The sequence below is a fragment of the Homo sapiens genome, chromosome 5, assembly GCF_000001405.40.
Source record: "Homo sapiens chromosome 5, GRCh38.p14 Primary Assembly".
Classification (NCBI taxonomy): Eukaryota; Metazoa; Chordata; class Mammalia; order Primates; family Hominidae; genus Homo; species Homo sapiens.
The window spans coordinates 97,454,828-97,478,423 of NC_000005.10; positions in this window are offsets into that span (position 1 = coordinate 97,454,828).

The following is a 23,596-nucleotide window of genomic DNA, read 5'->3' on the forward strand; positions in this document are numbered from 1 at the left end:
ACTGGAGGTCATTATGTTAGGTGAAATAAGCGAGGCACAGAAAGACAAATATCACATGTTCTCACTCATATGTGGGAGTTGAAAAAGTTGATCTCAACGAGGTAGAGAGTAGAATGATAGATATCAGAGGCTGGGAAAGGTGCATTGGTGAGCAGAGGAGGGGGACTGGGAATAAAAAGAGGTTGGTTAATGAGTACAAACATACAGTTAGATAGAAGGAATAAATTCTAGTGTTTGATAGCACAGTAGGCTGACTATAATTAACAACAGTATACTGTGTATTTCAAAATAACTAGAAGAGAATATTTGAAATGTTCTTTACCCAAAGAAATGATAAATGTTTGAGCTGATGGATACCCTAAATACCCTGATTTGATCATTACACCTTGTATGCATATATCCAGATAACACATATAGTCTGTAAATAGGTACAAATATTATATATCAATAAAAAATTTATAAAAATAAATGAAAATCTGTTTGAAGATACACGCATACCACATAATTGGTATATGTGAATGTGTCTATTTGAAAACTTTTAAAATTATAATGTAGTATACATGTGCATGCTACTATACACTGTCATGATTATGAAATTTATGACTAAAATTTTTTTACAGGCATGAAACATCATAGGATCTCTGGGAAAAGAGCAATTAGTATGGGGCTGGTCTGGAAGGGTAAGACTGAGAAGGCGACTAAGTGAGACTGAGCCAGCGATAGTGTATTTATTACCACTTCTTTAACACAGAATTCAAAAGCACTTTTGCACATTTTTCATTTACAACTTATAACAACCCTTTTAAAAAGTAGTTGAACCACTTCTCTCTTAAAGCATGCTAAATGAAATTTAGAAAGATATAGTAAATGCACCCTGAAATGACCTAGTGATGTACTCTGTCCTCTGCTTCCAGCACACAAGCCCAGTTTATTTCACATTGCAGCCAGATCATGCTGCAATAACTAAAGTACTCTGATTAAAACACTCTTATGGCTTTCCATCATGCTTCAAATAAAATTTAAACTCCTCACCACGATCATAATACCTACAGGAGTTGACCTTTGTCTACCCTATGGCCCTACTTCATATTACTATCTCCTCTCTGATGATACCATAGCCACTCTGAACCTCCTTCCTTTCCTCTAATGGATCCAGGGTTTTGCATAAGCTATTTAGTGTGGACACTGTTGACTGCCCATCTAGCTTCCATTTACTTCCAGCCTTTTCTTGATACCATCCATTTTTTGTCCAAATGCTCATCTCTACTCATAGTAGCCACATGTTTTGTGGGATTGACTCATGGTCCAGGATTAATTCTGAGTAGCTGAAGCCAATCATGGTGTTCCCATTCCTTTGCTAGTGATTGAACCAGGGGCCCAGGCTCATGCTAGTTAATACAAGGACCTTCCTTGGTCACGGAGATTGAGTCAGGAATGGACAGATGATGATCTTTAGGCCAGTGACCCACAGGGAAAGCTTGCTAGACATTTCTGGGAAACATTTTCTTGCCCTTAAAATAGAGTACTATGAGAAACTGTCTCTTTGTGTATTGTCATATGGAGCTGGGACTTTGGCAGCCTCTGCCACCAGTTCAGGATTAAAACTGATGTATAGATGAGGCCAAGTTGAGAAGGTCACAGGGCCCCTGGATTGAGACACCCCTTAACTATACTTTTCTTTGAATTTCCACTATGTTAGACAATAGCTTTTATATTTCAATTGAACTATTTTTTTTTCTGATACTTGCAACTATGATACCAGGCTCCTCCCCCTGAAATTCTTTTTCCCCCGTTTGTTAAATGTCAACTTCTTGCTTGGTATTACGATCTTGGTTCAATTCTTGCCATGTCAGAGATGGCTTCTCTGATATGTAATCTAAAACTCCCCTCTCTATCAGCCACTCTCTGTTTAATTACTATTTTTTCTTCATGGCCACCTATTATTACCTCTTTATTCATTCGTGTATTTGTTTAATGCCTGTCTTTATCCATTAGAAGGTCAACTCCATGAGAGGAGAAAGCTTGTCATCTCAAGTACTGCCACATCTCCAACAATTTGAACAGTGTCTTCATCTATAATAGATGCTCAATATTTGTTGAATGGAGAAGTGGAAGAATCAGACCTCAAACTCCCTTACTTTGGCTCCAAATTCTATTCTTTATCCACTGCACTGTGATGACTCACAAGGAAGAAAATAGTAACACCAGTAGAAGGAAGAGCAAAAGCAAAGGATAAATGAAGTACATCTAGAAAGGCTAAACAAATTTCTTCTTATTAAGAACAAAATGATTCAAATTCTAAGCCAATATCATAGTATTTCAGTATTTAAAACTCAGAATATGAGTTTTAAAAATTCAAATCAACACGCCTGTAATCCCAGCACTTTGGGAGGCCGAGACGGGTGGATCGTGAGGTCAGGAGATCGAGACCATCCTGGCCACCACAGTGAAACCCCGTCTCTACTAAAAATACAAAAAATTAGCCGGGTGCGGTGGCGAGCACCTGTAGTCCCAGCTACTCCGGAAGCTGAGGCAGGAGAATGGCGTGAACCCAGGAGGCGGAGCTTGTAGTGAGCCAAGATCGCACCACTGCACTCCAGCCTGGGGGACAGAGCGAGACTCCGTCTCAAAAAAAAAAAAAAAAAATTCAAATCAAATGGATTTAAAATGAGAACAGTAAAATTTTACTATATGTACATTTATGCATGTATGTATGCATATGTATACACAAATTAGAATTTACATATGTATATTTATAACAAACATAGGTAAAAGAGAATTGCAGGTCATTACATAGAGCAGGCTTTCAATATGTGTTTGTTTCATGATTGCAAATAACTTATATCATCACAAGATTTTATCTGTAAGAAGTGGCCTGTGGCTTGACTGAGTTAGAGAACCTCAGATTCTAAATACTTCAGATAGAGAGAGCCTGCCATGTTTTGAAGAACCTTGCCAATGGGAAGAAACCAGCAAATGAGAGTTCCATGAGAACTCTCATGGATGAGGAGAACTCTCATGGAATGAGGAGGTAAAGACAATGTCAAGGACAACCCCCTTCTCTGGGTTGGGTAAACCTCAGCACTGCTTTACAATCACCATGAGACAGGAGTCTCTGGGCATGAGAGGAGTCAAAGAATTACAGGTATACATTGGAGATATTGCAGGTTTGGTTCTAGGCCATCTCAAGCAATTATCACAATAAAGCAAGTCACACAGATGTTTTGGTGTTCCCAGTGTATATGAAAGTTATGTTTACATTATACTGTAGCTTATTAAGTGTGCAATACCATTATGCCTAAAATATGTACATAACCTTAATTAAAAAATACTGCTAAAAATGCTGACACAGAGACATGAAGTGAGCACATGCTGTTTGGAAAAATAGTGCTAGTAAACTTGGTTGCCACAGGGTTGCCACAAACCTTCAATTTGTAAAAACTGGAATATCTGCAAAGCGTAGTAAAGGAAACACAATAAAATGAAGGGTGCCCGTATTGTATTGACACCTTTGTTTCTACCCAAGACAATGAGTTATATTTTCAACACAGCTTTTCTGATATTCAGCAAAGATTGGTTTGGGAGAGTCGATTTACTGTTGTGGTTAAGGACATGTCTTGGTACCTGAATGCTTGGGATTGAATTTCTGCTTTGTCACCTACTGTCTATATTTGCTTAACTTCTCTGTATCTTATTATCTTCACCTGAAAATGTGGCTAATCAAAGCCACTTCATTGAATTATAAGAATTAAAGGAGTCAATATACATAGATGAGTAATTTTCATATTATCTATGGTGTTCTGTTTTTCTTAAATTTCTAATCTATTACTGATATTTTTGCAAAACATAATGAAATAAATTGCTAGAAAAATGAAGCAAAGATGCAAGGGAATTAATACTACTTTCAATTTTAGAAAGTAGATTGAACAAAAAAAAAACTCCATTAATTTGCTATAAAAGAATTTTAGTGCTTATTCTCATATTCTGTACTTCATAGTGAAATGCTAACTTCCACCCTTTGAGTAGCACTGTGTGCAAGACCTTAAAACAGTGCTTGGCATGTATTATGCCTATGCTGAGTATCACCAAATCTTTAGCTATTACGGCATGCCCCTGTATTGCAGGGCTCACATTGTTGTAAGGAGCAGACCTAGGAAGGTTTGTCTGCTACATACAGTCAAGCTCTCGAGGCACAGGTGGGTGACCGTGAGAAAGAGGAAAGGTGTGCAGAAACCTCTCACTTCCTCCCTCGCAGCAGACATGTTTAGCTTCAGGTTTAGCTTCAGTGATTTCTTTTTTCTTTTTCTTTTTTTTTAAGATGCAGTTTCACTCGCACCATGATACCTGGCTAATTTTTTGTATTTTTTGTATTTGTGTATTTTTTTTAGTAGAGATGGGGTTTCACCATGTTGGCCAGGCTGGTCTCAAACCCCTGGCCTCAAGTGATCTGCCCACCTCAGCCTCCCAAAGTGCTGGGATTACAGGCATGAGCCACTGTGCCTCGCCGTGATTTTTCTTTTTTTTAACTCAGTGGTTAGGCAGGCTTTTTAAAATAGATATATTAAATAATCGATAAACATTTTGGGGACAGGGAGACACCTCCCAGGTATTGTGCAGGCATTACATATCTCCTCCCCTTATTGCGATGTGTATAATTTATCTTCTGGGAAAGGTGAATCCACATCTTATATAAAATCAAAGACAACTGACTTCAACCCCTTTCTAACAGTGTGACTTTGACTACCTTTCTATATCTCAGTTATTTTATTTGTAATATGGGCACAATACTAATAATAATGCTTTCCCCAAAGGAAATCCAAGCACAGAGCACTTCTGTTTAATGAGACCCTCTTTCTGGACTATAAAGACAGTGTATTCAAGTCTCAAACAAGTCTCCATTGATACACTTCATAGAAACACTGAAATCCTTCTTCACAATCAGTAAAACAACATCGTTCCTGATGGGGCAATTACCCTGAGTGATCTAGTGGTGTAAAGTCAGGTGACTCAGAGAATAGGATAAATCAGACATGAAGCGAGGAATTTTCAATGCAGAGCTTAAGCAGATACTATGAATGTCTGGTGAGGAACAGCTGTCGAAGGTGAAAAAAGACATGACAGGATTTTATTTTGATGTGGACATCTCTCTTAAAACTGTCTGATAGGCTGGGTGCGGGTGGCTCACGCCTGTAATCCCAGCACTTCGGGAGGCCGAGGTGGGCGGATCATGAGGTCAGGAGATCGAGACCATCCTGGCTAACACGGTGAAACCCCATCTCTACCAAAAACACAAAAATTAGCTGGGCGTGATGGCTGGTGCCTGTAGTCCCAGCTACTCGGGAGGCTGAGGCAGGAGAATGGCGTGAACCCGGGAGGCGGAGCTTGCAGTGAGCCAAGATCTCGCCACTGCACTCCAGCCTGGGCGACAGAGCCAGACTCCGTTTCAAAAACAAAACAAAAAAAAAAAACTGTCTGATAGAAAGCCAGTTCTCTGCTTTTATGGAACTAGCCATCATATATGTGTTGAATGCATGCTATGAGTGTGGCACTAATTTAAAGATTATAAGGGAGAAATATGGTTTAACTTCAAGGAAGATATAATGTAATAGGGAAAAAATGACATTAAATCTAATAAAACAACAATGGTATACCAGATTTTAGTAGCAATTAAATTCGTACTATAGCAGTATTTTAAAATACAGTATTTTAAAAGAGAGCATTTAAAAATGCCATATTAGCTATATTAACTATATTTAAAAATAGTTAAAAACATATTTTAAAGATAGTATTTAAAGATATTTTAATTAATTTATGTATTTAAATATATTTAAGATATGGTATTTTAAAATATGGTATTTGTAGTATTTTAAATTATATTGCTATTTATAATGACAACTGTAGTCAATATAACATGGTACGTGAGTAATTGCCATTAAATGGCACAGTCGTTTAGAAAATGTAAAGCTCACCTCAACTATGGTGGTGGGGACAGCTGTTACATTCTAGTTATTAAACAGCCTGTGTATTTTGCTTTATTTAGTCAGAATAAAATCTTACACACACACACACACACACACACACACACACACATAGATATTTACTCCTACAATTTCTCTCATATATCCCGAACTAAAAAACTATAAATACAGCATGTTTTTATGAAATATTTCTAGCAGGTGTTTATGGTCTTAAAGTTTTAATAAATCAAGAAACAGGATGAAGAATGTATCTTAAATTACCAGTTTTTGTTTAACATTTTCAAGAATGTTTATATGTTAAAACATTTTAAAACTGAGAAAGTGAAAAATGTTGCATGGGCAATAGAAATAAAGCTGTCTTTATTGCTCCCTCTTGTCCAATTAGGAGAATTAATAATTCTCAAGACTTGCATTATACATTTCTTATATGTAGGTAACATAGAATGTTTCCCAATATGTTCTTATTTTATTATCACTGCTTGAATTTGGATATTGTAGTATTAAAGATATCCCACATAAAGAAGAATCATGTCCCACACAATGCTAATGAATAGGTGCCTGGCAAAGGCCCATATTCACATTTCTGAGAACTGTTGATACAAAAAATAAAATTGTTGACTTCTGGTGGTTCTTTGTGAGCATAATTCTGGTGCATTAAAACCATGGTGTCTTTCTAAATCAAGAAACTATATAAGGAACATGACAGTAGAATTGTCAATTTTTAACTTTTTAAAAATGTCTTTTATTGTAGAATTTGAAGCAAATTTACTTGACCTAGATGTATAATATTTAAAAGGCAGTCTAATTCTTCTGGCAACATTGAACACAGTTTGACCTCAAAACTGACATTCAACAGTTTGGGTGTGCAATTTAACTTTACATTGAGAGAGAGAGATCTTTAAAAAGTTTATTTAATATTAAAAATTAGCATGTTTTCTGATTTGAAGCCCATCGGGATGTCAACACTTTCTAGCTTCCAATTCTCTTTAACCTAATGTATGAGGAACATGGCATTAATTAAACCTTTGTTATTTATCCAATCTGTGAACTTTTCAAGTTTGAGATTACCTAATTAGTCAGATTTCATGGTTGTTCTGTGACAAGCATTAAGACCATGTTGTTCAATTTAACTTATGACTTGTTACCACCATGTGATTAAAATGCTAGTAAGTCAGCTTATTTTACTCACTTTATTTTGAGGGAATAAAAGTGCTAAGGCATTTATATGAAATGTTGTCTTAAGAACCTAATTGAAGAATCTGTGGTGTTTTTAAGCCAGTAATTTGAAGGAGCACATTCTGTCTTTGAGAATGATGTCTTAGTAGGAACTAATTTCTACTGCAGCCACCGAAGGACATTGGCCAAGTATTCAGGGAGTAACATGAAATGAAACACATTTTTCATGAGGTATATTTATCCAGAAGACCAAATGTACCATGAGAAAATGTATTTTTTAGTTATTCACTTAAACTTGAGCTCACTGGAGTACCCCAAACCTCTCTGTGTCGTTTTAGAAACATGCTAATTATAAAGAGGTTAGAAGAGTCAACATAGATTTTTGTATATGAAGTAATAACCAAAAACAATGTAAATAGTCAAAAATATTCCTAAATGTTTCAAATTTTATTTTGGTAAAGTAGAAAATAGAGGCATTCATACCTTTATGAATTAGTTAGCAGGAAGAGAAATTTACTTAAGACTTGTACCTGTGTGAGATGTTCACATAGTACCCTACTCAGAATAAGCAGAGGAATATAAACATTTGAATCTGGTAGTCAGTTGTATCCAGCTATTATACCTATAATTTATAGCTTCTAAATTATTTCTTTAATAAATCATCCATGGATTCTGGGTGTAATGCTGTTCAGTTCAGTCTGCTAACATCATCAGCACATATAAACTGAGTGAGTCTTTTGGCTGCTGAAATAGAGAAAAAACAAACAAAAACAAATCAAAGCAACAGTAACAAAACACATAACCATGGGGCCTGTATTCAGAGAACAGACAGTAGTACCTGTACACTTTTGATTATTTTAATTACAGGCATAGTCACTACAGTGGAGATGAATCAGCCTATTTCTTCATTTGTTTTGGCTCTCAATTTGGATACTGACTAGTGATACTTAATTTATGCCTATAGTTGTAAAAACAACCTGAAAAATGTAGAGTGGAAACAGACTAAAGCAGGGTCTCTTAATAGTGGCACTACTAACTAATGTTTTGGGATAGATAATTTTTTGTTGTAGGGGATTCGTTTCCATCCCACCCAAATCTCATCTTGAATTGTAGCTCCCATAATTCCCACGTGTTGTGGGAGGGACCTGGTGGGAAATCATTGAATCATGGGGACAGTTTCCCCATACTGTTCTTAGGGTAGTGAATAAGTCTCATGAGATCTGGTGATTTTTATAAGGGGTTTCCCCTTTTGCTTGGCTCTCATTCTCTCTCACCTGCCGCCATGTAAGACATGCCTTTTGCTTTCTGCCATGATTGTGAGGCCTCTCCAGTCACATGGAACTGTGAGTCCATTAAACCTCTTTTCCTTTATAAGTCACCCCGTCTCGGGTATGCCTTTTTCAGCAGCTTGAAAATGAACTAATACACACCCTCTCTGTTGTGACAAGAAAAAATATCTCTAGATATTGTCAAATGTTCCCTGGGGAGCAAACTTACTCCTGGTTGAGACTCACTACCTTAAGAATACCAAACATTGGGATGGATGCTATTTTATAAACTTTATCTTTCTTTTTGTGCCTTACCCTCTCTTTTGTGTATATGTGTTTTAGTTTCTGCATTGATTTACTGGTCCTCTCCTTAAGGAAAGACTTAACAAAAACATAACAATTAACTTTGCTCAGAATGAAAAAAAGTTATTACAAGACAGAAATAATAATATCTATTGGCTAGCTGTGAGTGTCCACTTTTGGGCTGTCCTATTAGAAAGTGGGAAATAGAATAATTATTCACGGAGACAAAGCTTTTTCCTGGCAGTAAGTTCTAAAACAGATTTTTCATCTGGATATTTTTCCCCACTGAGGCATGGAAGGATAAACATTTTAAATATAAAATTATATAGTTTATTTATATTACATGTCTCTTTCCTTTAGTAATGCTATCTTAAATCCAAGAGTACATGAATGACATCCAACTGAGGTCAGGTGCTTCTGTGAGGTGTTAACTATGATATGTCATTTATTTTTGTCAGGATTTTGGTTAGCACTAAATAGCTGACTAATATCTAGTTAAAGATTATACTCTCTGAAAGAGACCTAGAGTGTAGATTCTTTATACTGCTCAGAAAGAAGCCCCAAATTTGGAAGTGATACAAACAAGATCAATACAAGTAAAATTATACCTAAGCACATAATAGCAAACTGCTGAAAACTAAATATGTAAAAAGAAGAATCTTTAAAACATCCAGAGGAAAAGACACATTAATCACATGCAGGATTATGGTACAAGAATTACAGCTGACCTCATCAGGAACAATGGATGCCAGAAAAAATGTAACATTAGCTTTAAAGTGCTACAAGGAAAATAAAAACGGTCACCTTAGAATTCTTTATCTACTAACTAACCCCTCCCCCAATTATAACAAAATAAAGACATTTATAGATGAGCAAAAGCTGAGAGACCAGCAGACTTGTATTATAAGAAACTAAAGGAAGTTTTTCAGGATGAGGGAAATGATACTAGATAGAAACTTTAATGTACAGAAGAAACATGAGAAGAATCAGAAATGGTAAATATATGTGTACGTATAAAGGACTGTTTTATCTTTTAAAAAAGTTCTTAAAATACCAAGTTATTTTTGAAATAGAAACAATGTGGTATTGTGGGATTTATAACAAAAGCACTAAAAAGGTGATTAAGAAGGATCATACTATTGTAAGGATCTTACATTTTACATGAAGTAATGTTTTAATTTGAGTATAACCGTGTTAAATTTGGGACACATAATGTTATCCTGAAAGCTACCACCAGTAGATATTATGAAGAAGTATAGCTACATTAACCTAACACAATAACCCTAATTATGATTGATAACCCATACTCAGACATTAGAATTTTAGAAATCCCATACAATTTTGGAACACATATTTACATTATTCACTAAAATATAACCTGAAGAAGATCAAACACCACATTATTTTGGCAACCCTATGTAACTTAATATGTCAAATAATCTTGTTCACCTCTCTATTGGATGCTCCATGGGCCCTCTGTAGCATCCAAAAGTTAGAGGTTAGAAAAGACAATTTTGAAGCTGAAATTTGATTTTTGGAAGCCTATCAAATATGTTAAAAGCCTAAAACACTTGATATTATAAAACATCAGATCAGTGCCTTAAGAAACCCTCTTTGTGCTTTTATTTCAATGTTCATTTTACAGAAAAACCAAATAATACACTTTTGAATTTAGTCAATATGTTCACATGCAGAATTTCTTTCAAGATCAATCTTTATAAACATTCCACAATTTGTTTAAACCTTTAGCTTTATCTTATTTAAACCCTTATTAAAAAGGGTTGTTTTAATAACCCTCTAAACTAGGCAAAAATTTACGTTCCCATGCCTTCTTATACTCCTTTACTAAAGACACATTTTACTTTCATTACACACCTTGCATGTAAATCTATATTCAGTAGTCTCAATTACATGTTATAATGGTAACTCAGGCCATGGTAATTTAGCCCATATGTCTGCATTTTGAAAAGATTTTTATTTCTGAAAGGTTAAAGTCACGTGAACTAAAAGGCATTACAGATTTATTTTTCAGATTTTTCTTTCAAAATATTTAATCTAAGCACTTATTTTTTAAGCCAATCAGAACTCTTTTTTATATAAACATCACACATATAACACATATATAACTACACAGACAGACAGAAGGACATCCAGTAGTTGTAAGATTTTTTCATGTGCCAATCTCTTAATTGGATTACTGGCCTCAGGCTGGAGCCCTTCAAGAATCAAGGCTAGGAAGCATGCAGCTTCTAAGGCCTAATAAGCAGGCATAGCTGGAAGACAAAAAATGGATTTTGAGAGGGATCCCTCCACCTCTAATTCCTGGGTTTCCATGAGGGAAACAGAGGTTTTTCCCAAAACAGGATTAGTGGTGCCTCTTCCATTTTCCCAGGGAGTCCCAGGCCAGCAGAAGTCATCTTGGATCCCCTCATGGGTACATTGAGAGTGGCAAGACAAAAATGGAGAAAAATAATTCAGTCAACTGAGAAGAAAAAACCTTTTTCCAGAAAAACAAGATCCATGAAGAGGAAAGACATAAAGGCCCTTAAAATATACCTACAGCTTGGATATCTGTCTTTAATTAAGCTGACTTTTAACTGTAATGCTCCTTTTTTTAAGAAGTCCTTTTCAATCTCTTATTACCTGACCTTAGCCATACCAAATTGCCAATACTTCTGGCTTTTTAACTCATGAAGAGGCAGATAATACAGTAATTTTTATATTCCTACAACTAATTTCCACAGAGAGAGAGGTCAGAAGTCTGACTGGCAAGAACTTTTACCCTTTTGCAGGCACGTCAGGCTCTGGGTTCCCTGTTCCTGAGCCATGGAGCCCTATTGACCCTGGAATCCTATGAAGGGGGAACAGAAAATGAGAAGTTTACCTTCTTCGAGAGGTTGCCAGGAAGTTTAAGGTTTGGGGAAATTAAACTCTTCCCAGTTTGAAAGATGCATCTGAGGGGAGAGTCCTGTGGTACAAAGATGTGATTACCCACCCGTGAAGAGAGGACACAGGAGGAAAAATGAAAAAACTTTTTTTTTCTCCAGTGTCTGAGGGTCAAAGGAGTTCTAGTGATTTAGGATGTGCTTGAGAGGAGTTCAGGCTGCAGATGGTTGGTTACTCACCTGGAAAGAGGGGAAAAAGTTATCCCTTTGTTCCTCTCTCTCTTCAGCAAATACTCAGGGTATGTGATGGAGAGAAAAAAAGCCATCCCTTTTTCTTTTTCCATCCTTATATCCCAGAGTCCCAGTGACCTTTGCAGGTGCCATCCCATGGGTGCAAGTGCAACCTTCACCCATGTAGCAGGGAGGACTAGTGAGTAGCAATATTCACAGTTACCTCTGTGTTGCCCTATCCTCCCACTGCCAGTAGCCTTGGGGTTCCCTAGACCTTATCTATGTCATGGATGTGAGCATGACCTCCATCCATGGAGGGGGAGGGCCTAATCAGCAGGAATTAGTCATGCTCACCTGAGCTGTGCCCCTCGATTCCAGCTGTCATCTGCCTCAGGTCTAGTGTTCTGTTCCAGGGCTTCAAACCAAAGCTCGGGACAAAAAGATGCCTCAGAAGGGTGTATGGATTCATTAAATTAGTCCCAGGTGGCCCTCGGCAAATCACAGCCAGCAACTGGCAGGGGCAGCTCCTCTGTTGTTTCTCTGTCATAAGCAACTGAGTCTGTGGGACCAGGCCCTCCTCAAACAAGGGAGAGAAAGTGAGTCCCTGGAATTGGAGACCTGGCCTAATAAGGTGCCTCCTGAAAGGAAAAAAGCTAACCCCTCACATAGAAAAATTCCCTGTATTCATAGGATTATGTTGAGTCCTGACATGGAGGAGGAAGGAGACCTGAGATGCCTCTCGCAGTTGTGCTAAGAGAGAAGGGGGCCTAGATTGGAGAGGAGAAGTGAAAGGCCTGCTGCAGTGTCCAGGAGGAGGTCCACCTTCTTCCCTTGGACTTCCAGAATCACCTGGGGCTCCTGAATGGTAATGGTGGTCTGAACCACAGATGACGGGGAGAGGAGCCTCAGGACCTATCAGCCCTGTTGGACCATTTGGGAGACTGGCTCTGGACTTGGTGGCCTGTGTCTCTGGAGACAGTGCACTTTCCAGTGGTCCCCATTGTAAATTAGACAGGGTCAAGGTGGCTTCCTCCTGCTGTCCAGACAGTCCTTCCTAAACTGCCCTGGCTTACCACATTTGTAGCAGTTAGCAGGTGCATCTCAGGGACTCTGGGGTTTGTGAGCCTGCCACATAGCTATCAGAGCCTCTGCCTTTTTCTTTTATTTTCTTTCCATTTTTCTGGACTTCCTCCTGGTCCCTATTGTAAAAGACTGAGGTGGCCACTTTCAGAAAGCTCTTTAAAGTACTATCTGGTCCTTTAGCCTGTTTCTGTAACTTGCTCCTGATATCAGGGGGCTGCCTGTGTCATAAAGTTATCTTTTAGGCTTAGCTGTCCCTTGACTGAATCAGGAGATAGAGAGGTATGCTTTATCAAGGCCCCTCTTAGCCTATCCAGGAAGGTAGTGGGATTTTCATCTAATCCCTGGTCTACCATGGATAGCTTGGTGTAATTGAGGGGCTTTGTCCTAGCCCTTCATAAGCCCTCCAATATGCACACCTGAAAGTGTTTCCTCTTCCATTCTCCCATTTCATCATTGGGGTCTCATTTAGGGTCCTCTAATGGTACTGCTGTTCTTCCAATTGGATAAAACTCCTCCCCTTCATTGGCTCTATATAACATATAAACCTCATCCTCAAAGTTCTCTGTCACTTGCAGGGTGGTCTGCTTTTCAGTGGTGGTCAGAGTTTGGTTCCAAAGTGATATGACATCCTTCCAGGAGAGTTCAAATACTTGGGTTAAGTTCTGGAAAGCCTCTATATACCTGTCAGGGCCATCTGAAAACTTGCCAAGATCCTGCTTCATTTAACTTAAGTCCTGTAGAGAAAAGGGGACCTGTCCTTTAATGGGGCCATGTTCATCAGGCTTCTGTTGTAGGGGCAGGAGTGAGACAGGCACCTGCTTAAAATGAGGATTTTTAGGCTGGAGAAAGCTTGAGAGAATCTGGATAGGGAGGAGCAGAGGGGCTTGATTACCCCGCTGGAGGTACCACTGGGGTTTGCTTCCCTATTTCCCTGGGATTGTCCCTTACAGCCTCTCCTGAGATGACCACTAGGAGGACTGAATCAATTCTACAACATCAACAAAGGTCCGGGTTATCCTGCGAGGCAAAGAAGGCCTGCACATGTAGGACCCTGAACCACTTGCCCTTCCATGTACAGAAAAGATCCAGCTGCAAGATGGTATTGAAATTAATGCTTCTCTCCTGAGGCTGTGCTTCTTTTCTGTGCCTCAAGGGGCTTGGCGCTAAGTTGGCAACCAAGGATATGACAAGAACATTTTTGCCACAAATTTACACACAGATGCCAAGGCACACTTTGCTTCATCTGTACTTCTCTTAACCTTCCATTTTATACTTTTGATGACTAACCCAAATGCTCATTCTTCCCAGTAATATCTCTGTGGTTTGCAACAACCTTCTTTTTTTTTTTTGAGATGGAGTCTCGCTCTGTTGCCCAGGCTGGAGTGCAGTGGCGCAATCTTGGCTCACTGCAAACTCCGCCTCCCGGGTTCACGCCATTCTCCTGTCTCAGCCTCCCGAGTAGCTGGGACTGCAGGCGCCTGCCACCATGCCTGGCTAGTTTTTTGTATTTTTAGTAGAGACAGGGTTTCACCGTGTTAGCCAGGATGGTCTCGATCTCCTGACCTTGTGATCTGCCCGTCTCGGCCTCCCAAAGTGCTGGGATTACAGGCATGAGCCACCACGCCCAGCCTGCAACAACATTCTTAATATTGTGTATAAAGAAGGTATAGGTACCATGAGAGCCATGAAAGAAAGAGAAAGAATGATAGGAAAGACTGGAGGTCCTAGAGCTGACAACCTAATGAGCAGCTGGGGACTGGAGTTAGTCCAGAAGACTTTTGATAATACTGAGGTGTAGCCTTTGCCAGATACCCTCAGTTTCCCCAGGACTTCCTTCCAGTCTCACACAATGCCTAGACCTCCATAAAGGAAAGTGGACTGGAACAAAGCCAACATTTCCAATACCTGAGGGTGATGGGGGATTGACAGTGTCCTCCCCAGCAAGCCTATCCTTCTTATCTTTTTTTTTTTTTTGCAATGGAGTCTCACTCTGTCACCCAGGCTGGAGTGCAGTGGCGCAGTCTCAGCTCACTGCAAGCTCCACCTCCTGTGGTCACGCCATTCTTCTGCCTTAGCCTCCTGAGTAGCTGGGACTATAGGCGCCCGCCACCATGCCCAGATAATTTTTTGTATTTTTAGTAGAGAGGGGGTTTCACCATGTTAGCCAGGATGATCTCGATCTTCTGACCTCGTGATCTGCCTGCCTTGGCCTCCCAAAGTGCTGGGATTACAGGCGTGAGCCACTGCGCCCGGCCTCCTCCTTATCTTAAGTCTGGCGGCCACACTACTTGCTTTTAACTGGCTGACAGAGGCCCGGTATTTTTCTTTCATTTTAGCTATTGTGAAGTTTAAGAACTCTGAAAAAAGGACCAAAAGGACAGATTCTCTTTTACTCACCCTTCTGCAGATTCTGGATGAGCCCCCAAGATGTTATGGGATCTTTGGGTTTCCTTTTTCTGGCCAGAAACATCTGTGGCTGGTCGTGCCTTTGCCTGAGTTTTGCTTGGACCCACTGGGTTCATTCCGCCCATTTGGCCTGGCAGGCTGCACTTGGCTCACACTACCAGCCTGGATCCCCCACCTCAAGGGCGAGTCAGGCATGGAATGGTGAGGGGTGAGAGTAAGCATGGGGTCTGGCCACTGTGCGCAGTGAGATACACTGGTTGCTGCCATGGGGTGGGAAGCTCCAGGTGCTGGTATGGGCACTGGCTCTCTGTGAGTCTGTGGCTGGAGCAGTCGCATTGCAAGCAGCTTCCCTGGTGGCACTTGGGAATGCAGTGGCACCCAGAAGCTTGAAGACACCAGGAACCACAGGGCCCCAAAGAGAGAGTCACAGACCAGGCTCAGGGAGCTCCTAGGTCTAGGCTCCCTGAAGGGCTGCAGCTCTTTTCTCCTTCTCTTTGCCCACCATGTGGCAAGCAGGGGGCAGGTTTCAGCCCTGTTTGTGTTACAGCTCTTTTAGCCTCACCATTCAGCAGGTACTGAGTTCTTGTCCTGTGACCAGGAAGAATGAGGTATACAGACAAGTGGAGGGTGAGCAAGATGAAGAGGAGCTTTATTGAGTGATAAAACTGCTCAGAGGAGATGTGCAGTGGGTAGCTCCTTTCTGCAGTCAGGGTGTCCCAACAAGTGTTGAGCTCCTAGCAGAGAGGAGATGCTAGAATGAGGAGGTCCTCTCTGCAGGCAGGTGGTTTTGTTGTCTCTGCAGCTCTCAGCAGAGAGGAGGCCCTAGAGTGGGTGGCTCATCTCAGCAGGCAGGTCATCCTATTGTCTCCCTGTTGTCTCTCTGTCCTCTCTTCCAGCCTGGCTGAGTCCAGGGGTTTGGGGGGTGGTTATGGGCCTTACAGGGGAGGAAGTGCATGCTGGTTGGTTCAGGGGTGGCTAAGGATGGACCCAAGGAAAAGCACTGCAAGTTCCCCCTCTGGTCCACAGGACTGTCAGCCCAGCCCTCAGGCTTTAGGCCCTCTCCAGCCTGAAGGTTGGGCTTCACCAGGGACCTGCTCTCTTCTGCCCAGAAGCCTGTCTCCTGCCACCATTCATGGCACCCAGTCTGTTAATGCCAAGGGATGCCTGCAGGCCAGTGCCAGGCTGTCTTCAGCCTTCCCTTTGCCTCCTTCCCATGCTTATTGGTGCCCAAAGTTGGGAGGGGGCTGAGGCGGCAGGGGACTGTCATGTCATCACTGCCCCAAGCCTGGGCACACCTGGCCTGGCCAATGCCCAGGCTCAGCCCTGATCTCACTCTGAGATTGGAGCAGGCTCTGACAGTGGGAAGAAGCCAGCTAGTGGGAGCAGGCACCTCTGAGCCTGCTGGGGACAGAGGGCCTTCCCTGGCCCCCAAGAGCATGAAGATTCCCAGGGCCTGAGCTGTGGGAGGTGGCTACAGCTGCACCTGGGGAGCTCCTGCCCCACCAACTTGGAAGGGACAGGGCTCCCACTTGTCCCCAGCTTCTGCCAGCTCCATGGAGCATGCAGCCCTGGCTGCACCTCCTTGCAGCCTGGGGCGGGGGCTCCAGGTCCTCACTGGGCCCCTCTCTGGCCACTCACTCTGGCCCCCTCCTGTTCTGCATTTAAGTGTTCAGCAGTTGCAGGGTGCCATGGTCCCCAGCAGGTGCACCCAAGGAGCAGTTGGCAATGTGAGTGCTGACCCCAGCTGGGAGTGTCGCCTGAGCTGCCAAGGCTGTGCCCTGGCTCCAGGAGGAACCACATAGCTCACAGTAGGACCATGTCATCCCTGGTGCTGGCAGTGGTGCTGATGGCGGTGATGGAGGCAGGTCCCAATGGTGGTGCAGGCAAGAGGGGCAGCGGTGGGGATGCCAACTCCTCAGGGTCTTTCTGGGGACCGCCACGATGCCCAACTATGCTGCTCTTCTGCTGGTGGGTGGCTTGGTCCAGCCCCATCGCAGTGGCCCCTAGGATGGCAGGCTCTGCGGGGCTCCCAAGGGCGGGCTCTGGGGACTGTCTGACTTTTCCCCACGCCCTTCCCACACTGGTGGTGGGTGAGAGCAGTGACATGGGGCCAGGGTCTGGAGCGGAGGAGGATCCAAGCCTGAAGGTGTGTCCTGCCCAGCCGGGTAATGGTGGGGGTGGCACAGTCAGCTGCCTCAGGGATGCAGAGTGTAGGGCACAGGGTTCCCACTGCTGCCACGGCTGCTCCTGCAGCCACTCCTGCTGTCACCTCCTATGCCTCCCTACTGCAGTCAACATGATAGAAGTGGCCTCTATGGACGGCCTGCCACTGCCATCAATGTAAAATATGTGTACTTAATAATGTAGTTTCAAAAGTAATAGTCAAAAAGAATAACTAAAGGGAGAAATAGGAAAAATAGTTGAGAACATTAATACGCTTCTCTCAGTAATTAATAATATAACGCTTCTCTCAGTAATTAATAATATAAAGAATAGTTGGAAAATCAGTTAAAATATAGAAGATCCAAACAACACTTTAACCTAATTTTCATTTATATAACATTACACTTAACAACTGCAGAATATATATCCCTTTTACCTACTAATGGAGTGTTAAACAATACATTAGGCCACAAAATAAATATCAGTACATTTCAAAAGACTGAAATCTTGTGGATTATATTCTCTGAGCACAACACAATTCACTTAGAAATAAAAATAATGAATTAGAAAAGTCTCAATTATTTGTTAATTAAGCAATGCACTTCTAATGAACACATGAGTCAAAGAAGAAATCACAGGGGAAATGTAGAATATATCAAACTGAATGATGATGAAGAGAAAATATATCAAAATTTGTAGAACGCAGCTAAAACAGTGTTTTGAGGGAAATATATAGCTTTAAAAGCTTATATTCAAATAAGAGACATTTAAAACCAATGGTCTGAATTTCTATCCTTAGGATCTAGAAAACAAAAGCAAATTAAACCTGAAGTAGAATAAAGAAAATAAGAGAAGAGCCTAAATCAATAAAATAGAAAAAAAAACCTCCATAAAGCTAGTCAAGTCCATTCAGAATGTTCATAGCATACTCTGCATTCAGGCCTTAAAAATGAATTGACCTAAGTCCAATATATGGTTAAGTTTTATGTACCCAGAATTTTATAAATGACTTATTCATGGAATTTATAAAAGATAACATCCTATTAAAGTTATTATTTTAGTTATAATTTATTTAGTCTTTATAATGTGCAAATATATTCGAACTCATTTGTCCTCCATAGAGATGCTATGAAGTATATATTATTTTCATTAAGGAGAGCCACATCTTAGAGAGCTTAAGTAATATACTCGACGTCTCTCAGTAAGTGGTGGAAACAGTATTCAAAATAAGGCCTGATCTGACCTCAAAGCCTGCACTTTTTCCAGATAGCTGCCTTGATAGTTACATATGTTAAATTATTTATTGATCTGTTGGTCTCTCTCTTTTTATTAAAATTCTTTTTGTAGTGTTCTCTCATATGCTGATTCAAGCTTTCTTTGACATTTTATTTCTACTTCATAGTTCAGTTATTTTCCAAGTTTATTATTTTTGTGTAATATCTCTGAAGTTAAATATATTTAATATGGACTACTTAGGAAATATCTATAGAATTTTATTATTAAGCAGCTAATGTTTACTTTCATATCTCTGTACTTTCCAAATGTCAGAACTTATAATGACTTTTCTGAGTTATTGCCAATAAGACGATATTTACTAAGATTTTTAAGTCCTTATGAAGAGCATTGTTTTAAATCAATATAAGATTAGTGAAATAAAAAATGACTCAGTATTTTACTAAAACATTTTTTGAGTATTTTTATTTTAGTAATGTTAATTATATGACTAAAATTGCTGATACCTAACCTTACTTTCTTATTTTTCTACACTGAAAGAGGATACAGTCTAGTCTTCCAGATTTGTATTGCAACTCACTTCCACTAACTTCCACTAAAATATGGTGTCAGCCTTTATTAATGCTTCCAAAATATTTGAATATTTTGGATTATATGTACATATATACATTCAAATATTTTGGATGCATTAATAAAATACAATTATTTTGTTAATTTTATGAATATTAAATATTTGGAAGCATTAATAAATATATATATATATTTGCTGTGACAAATGTTTTGTTTTCATTATCTCCTTTAATCATTATCATAGTTTGGTAAAATAAATGAAATAATCCCTATTTTATAATATGAGGAAACAGGACCAGTTTCCACAGACAGAAAGTTAAGGATCAGTATTCAGCTGAGATTCTGCTGGCTCAAATCTTGTCCTCTTGACTTCTGTGATCCACATTATTGAATTTTGATATACTATACATAAAGAATGATTGACAGTTAACTTTAAGCCATTTTGAGGCATAATTGTATTTCTTGGAAATATTCTCAGAAATGAAAATAAGCTTGAAAAATACAGCAGTTTTTTTTTTCATTCTGATGATAAGTGTTTATGATGATACCTTATTGTTAATATGTATCGAAATGTCGTTTGAGTGCAAAACACCAACAGTGTTTCTCAATAATTAAACAGATATCCAATAATTGAATTATTAGATAATTTGGCACTTAATGAGTTTACTGACTGAAGGACAAGGCAGCTCCATATAGAAATTAAATAGTTTGCTGAAAGGTTTCACAACAAAAAGGGCTAGAAGCTTGAAATCTAGAAGTATAACATTGCTTTGGTTGCGTTTTAAATTAGCTAAAATAATCATGCCATTTTATTTTCATATTTGCAAACAACTGCACTTTCTGAGGGTAAATAAAATGAGTAGGTTTTTTATTTTTAATAAAAGTAAGTAGCTGGTTACACATTAATGTGTGAATGCTTTTGTCAAATGGCTAATAATGGTGTGTTTATTAGGTAATTAAAATACTTTAGAATATTGCTCTTTCTTCATAATAAACTAATGTGTAGTTAATCATGAAGTTATAAATAATTGGACAGAATTTTTGAAATTCTTTTTAAATAATAAAACACAATACAGAAAACTATATAAAATTGATGTATAGCTTAGTGAAGTATGTATTGAAAAGCAAACATCTCAGTAATTACCATCTGCACATTAAGAAGTCAATTATTATTCACACATCCCATAAGCCCTCCATGTGTCTCATTCCATTTACATCTGCCTCCTTCCCACCCCAAATAACCATTATCTTGACTTTTATAGTAATTATTCCCTTGCATTTATTTATACCTTAATCAGTATGGCTACATCCTAGAGGTTCTTCTTTACTGTTGCTCACTTTTTAAAAAACTCAATATATTTTTAAAATGTCTTTTAATCAAAAGATTATTCCTCCAATCACTTTCTTTTCTATTCAATTTATTTTCTCTTTCTTTTTTTTTTTTTTTTTTTTTGAGACGGATTCTGTCTGGCTCTGTCACTCAGGCTGGAGTGCAGTGGTGTGATCTTGGCTCACTGCAACCTCCGCCTCCCAGGTTCAAGTGATTCTCCTGCCTCAGCCTCCCGAGTAGCTGGGATTATAGGCGTCCACCACAATGCCCAGCTAATTTTTGTATTTTTAATAGAGATGGGGTTTCATCATGTTGGCCAGGACCTCAGGTTATCCTACTGCCTCGGCCTCCCAAAGGGCTGGGATTATAGGCATGAGCCACCATGCCCGGCCTCAATTTATTTAAAAAAATCCAAGGCTATTTGAGCCGTAGAGTTCTACACACCCTGTATTTTGCTGATTGTATACTTGTGGTACAGTTCAATTTGTTTCTCTCTCCATTTTCTTTCTCTGTCCTGTGTATTTCCAAATGGTAGTTGGCTTCTCAGATTTGATCAGACTCAAATTGGATCCCCGTGACAAGATTACATATTCATTCATTCATTCATTCATTCATTCATTCATTCATTCCAGGAGACAAATAATGTTTGGTTGTCTCTCTTTTGTGATTTAGTAGTTATTTGATGCTCAGTGCCTAGATCCAATAATTTATTGTTGTTGCAAAATGGCGATAGTCCTATTTTACCATTCCTTTTAAATTTAATATTTGGATTGCCTGTATAAGAAGCTGTTTTGGCAGGGAGCAGGGGCTCACGCCTGTAGTCCCAGCACTTTGGGAGGCTGAGGTGGATGGATCACGAGGTCAGTAGTTCGAGACCAGCCTGGCCAACATGGTTAAACCCCGTCTCTACTAAAAATACAGAAATTAGCTGGGCGTGGTGGCACATGCCTGTAATACCAGCTAGTCAGGAGGCTGAGTCAGGAGAATCACTTGAGCCCAGGGGGCAGAAGTTGCAGTGAGCCCGAGATCTGCACCACTGCACTCCAGCCTGGCAACAGAGTGAGACTCTGTCTCAAAAAAAAAAAAAAAAAAAAAAAAAAGGAAGCTGTCCTCTGCATCTACTAGTTGATTACTCAGTGGTACAGTTCATAAAGGAAAGTCAGAATAAATATTTCCTTTCCCTTTATCTACCAGTTTTTAAGGTACTGACTTTTAAGATAATGAATTAGTTATCTATCATCCTCTGAAATTGTTCAATTAATTTTTATAAAGTGTCATGATTAATTTAAACGTATTTTATCAGTTTTAGTTCATTGTAATTCTTACCTTATTTATTTCACCTTAAGCTGAAACTTTGGACATGAGTAGTTTCTTCAAGTTGGCTGTTGAGTTCTTTGAACATGTTTTTGATTGTTCCCTTGCTATCCTGCGTGACAAGATGTTTTAGGCTTATCTTGCACATTTCCTGCCCTAGACCTAGAAAAATTGTAGTTCAAGATCATATTCTGGACACTAAGAATGTTCATTACTGCTGGATTGGTTATTGTTTCTAGGCCTTTACAGTGAACAGGGCTGCCTTTCTATCTAAAGATAACATAAATGAGAGTGTTAATATCAATACTTTCAGTTCCAATTTAGGACTTTAGGGTTTCTACTTAAAGTCTTCTATATTACATCTGTAATTTATTTCTTACACACTGAAAACAGTGGTTTTTCAGGACACAAAGAAAGGTGGAATTATAATATCCCTAAATTACCCATTTGCTTTATTCCAAATTATGCATAAAAAGTCTCAGGATAACAATATCAACACAACTACTACCAATTTTATTTTTTCATTTGTTCTCCCCATATTCCCCCCTCCTTTAAAAAATAGTTGTGATATATCTACACTGTCAGGTCATATAGTGAAACTTATTATAGTTCCTTCCTCTTAAACCCCATTTAGTATTAGTTCTACAACTAACCATGAGAATTTATCTTGAAAGCACTCTAGTCATTTTTTTTAAATTGAATTTCAGTTTGTAATAGATTCCTCTCGAAAAGTTTGTGGGAGCAATATTCCCTGAGTCTTTGCATGTTAGTAGCATTTTGTCTATGCTTTTTGTAATTGAAATTCTTTTTTTAATATAAAATCTTTGGCATATATACTCTTTCTTTGTCTATCTTAAATATGTTACTGAATTTTCTTAAGACATAAAGCATTGAATTTGAAAAGTCTAATGATTATCTAATTTTCTTTCCTTTATAAGTCACTTTCTTTTTTCTTTAGATTCCCAACAGACATTTTCTTTTCTTTTTTTTTCAGTTCAATAATTTTACTGGAATACATTTTGATGTTGATTGTTCTTGATTTGTCAGTTACATGGTCCACTTTTTCAATATTTAGTTTTAAATCACTTATATTTTTATTTCAGAAATGTTTTAGTTATATTTTTAGTATTTGTTCTGTTTCATTGCTTTAGTTTTTCTCTTCAGAGATTTTTGTTATTCATATGTTAAGTATTTTTGTCTTCAATATTTGTCCCTTTTACTCATCCTTTATCTTCTTTAATTCTTTTATTTATTTCTTTCCTGCCTTTTTACCTTTTACTTATCAAGGTGTTTTGTGCTACATTTACTTATTTTTTTCTTCCTTCCAGTTTAATCTTCATTCCTGAAACTATTGTTCTCTGATGTCCAATTTCATCTTGAGATTTATCAGCTGGTGGTGTTTTCTAATTCTAATTTATGTTGCTTTTTCAAGTCTTGTATTCTTAGTATCTTTTAGCTTGTTATGAAATAATAGGTTAGAGTTTTGATTTGTTTTCTGAACATTTCTTTTTGGCATACTTTCGTTGTCTCTAGTATGTTATTTTGTTTTTTACTATCTTTTTTCTTTAATAAGTTTTTATGGGATTTGGCCTTAATCCTTGTTTTGCTCATATTTACACAAAATTGATTTCCGTGAATTTTTAGAGAAGGAACTTT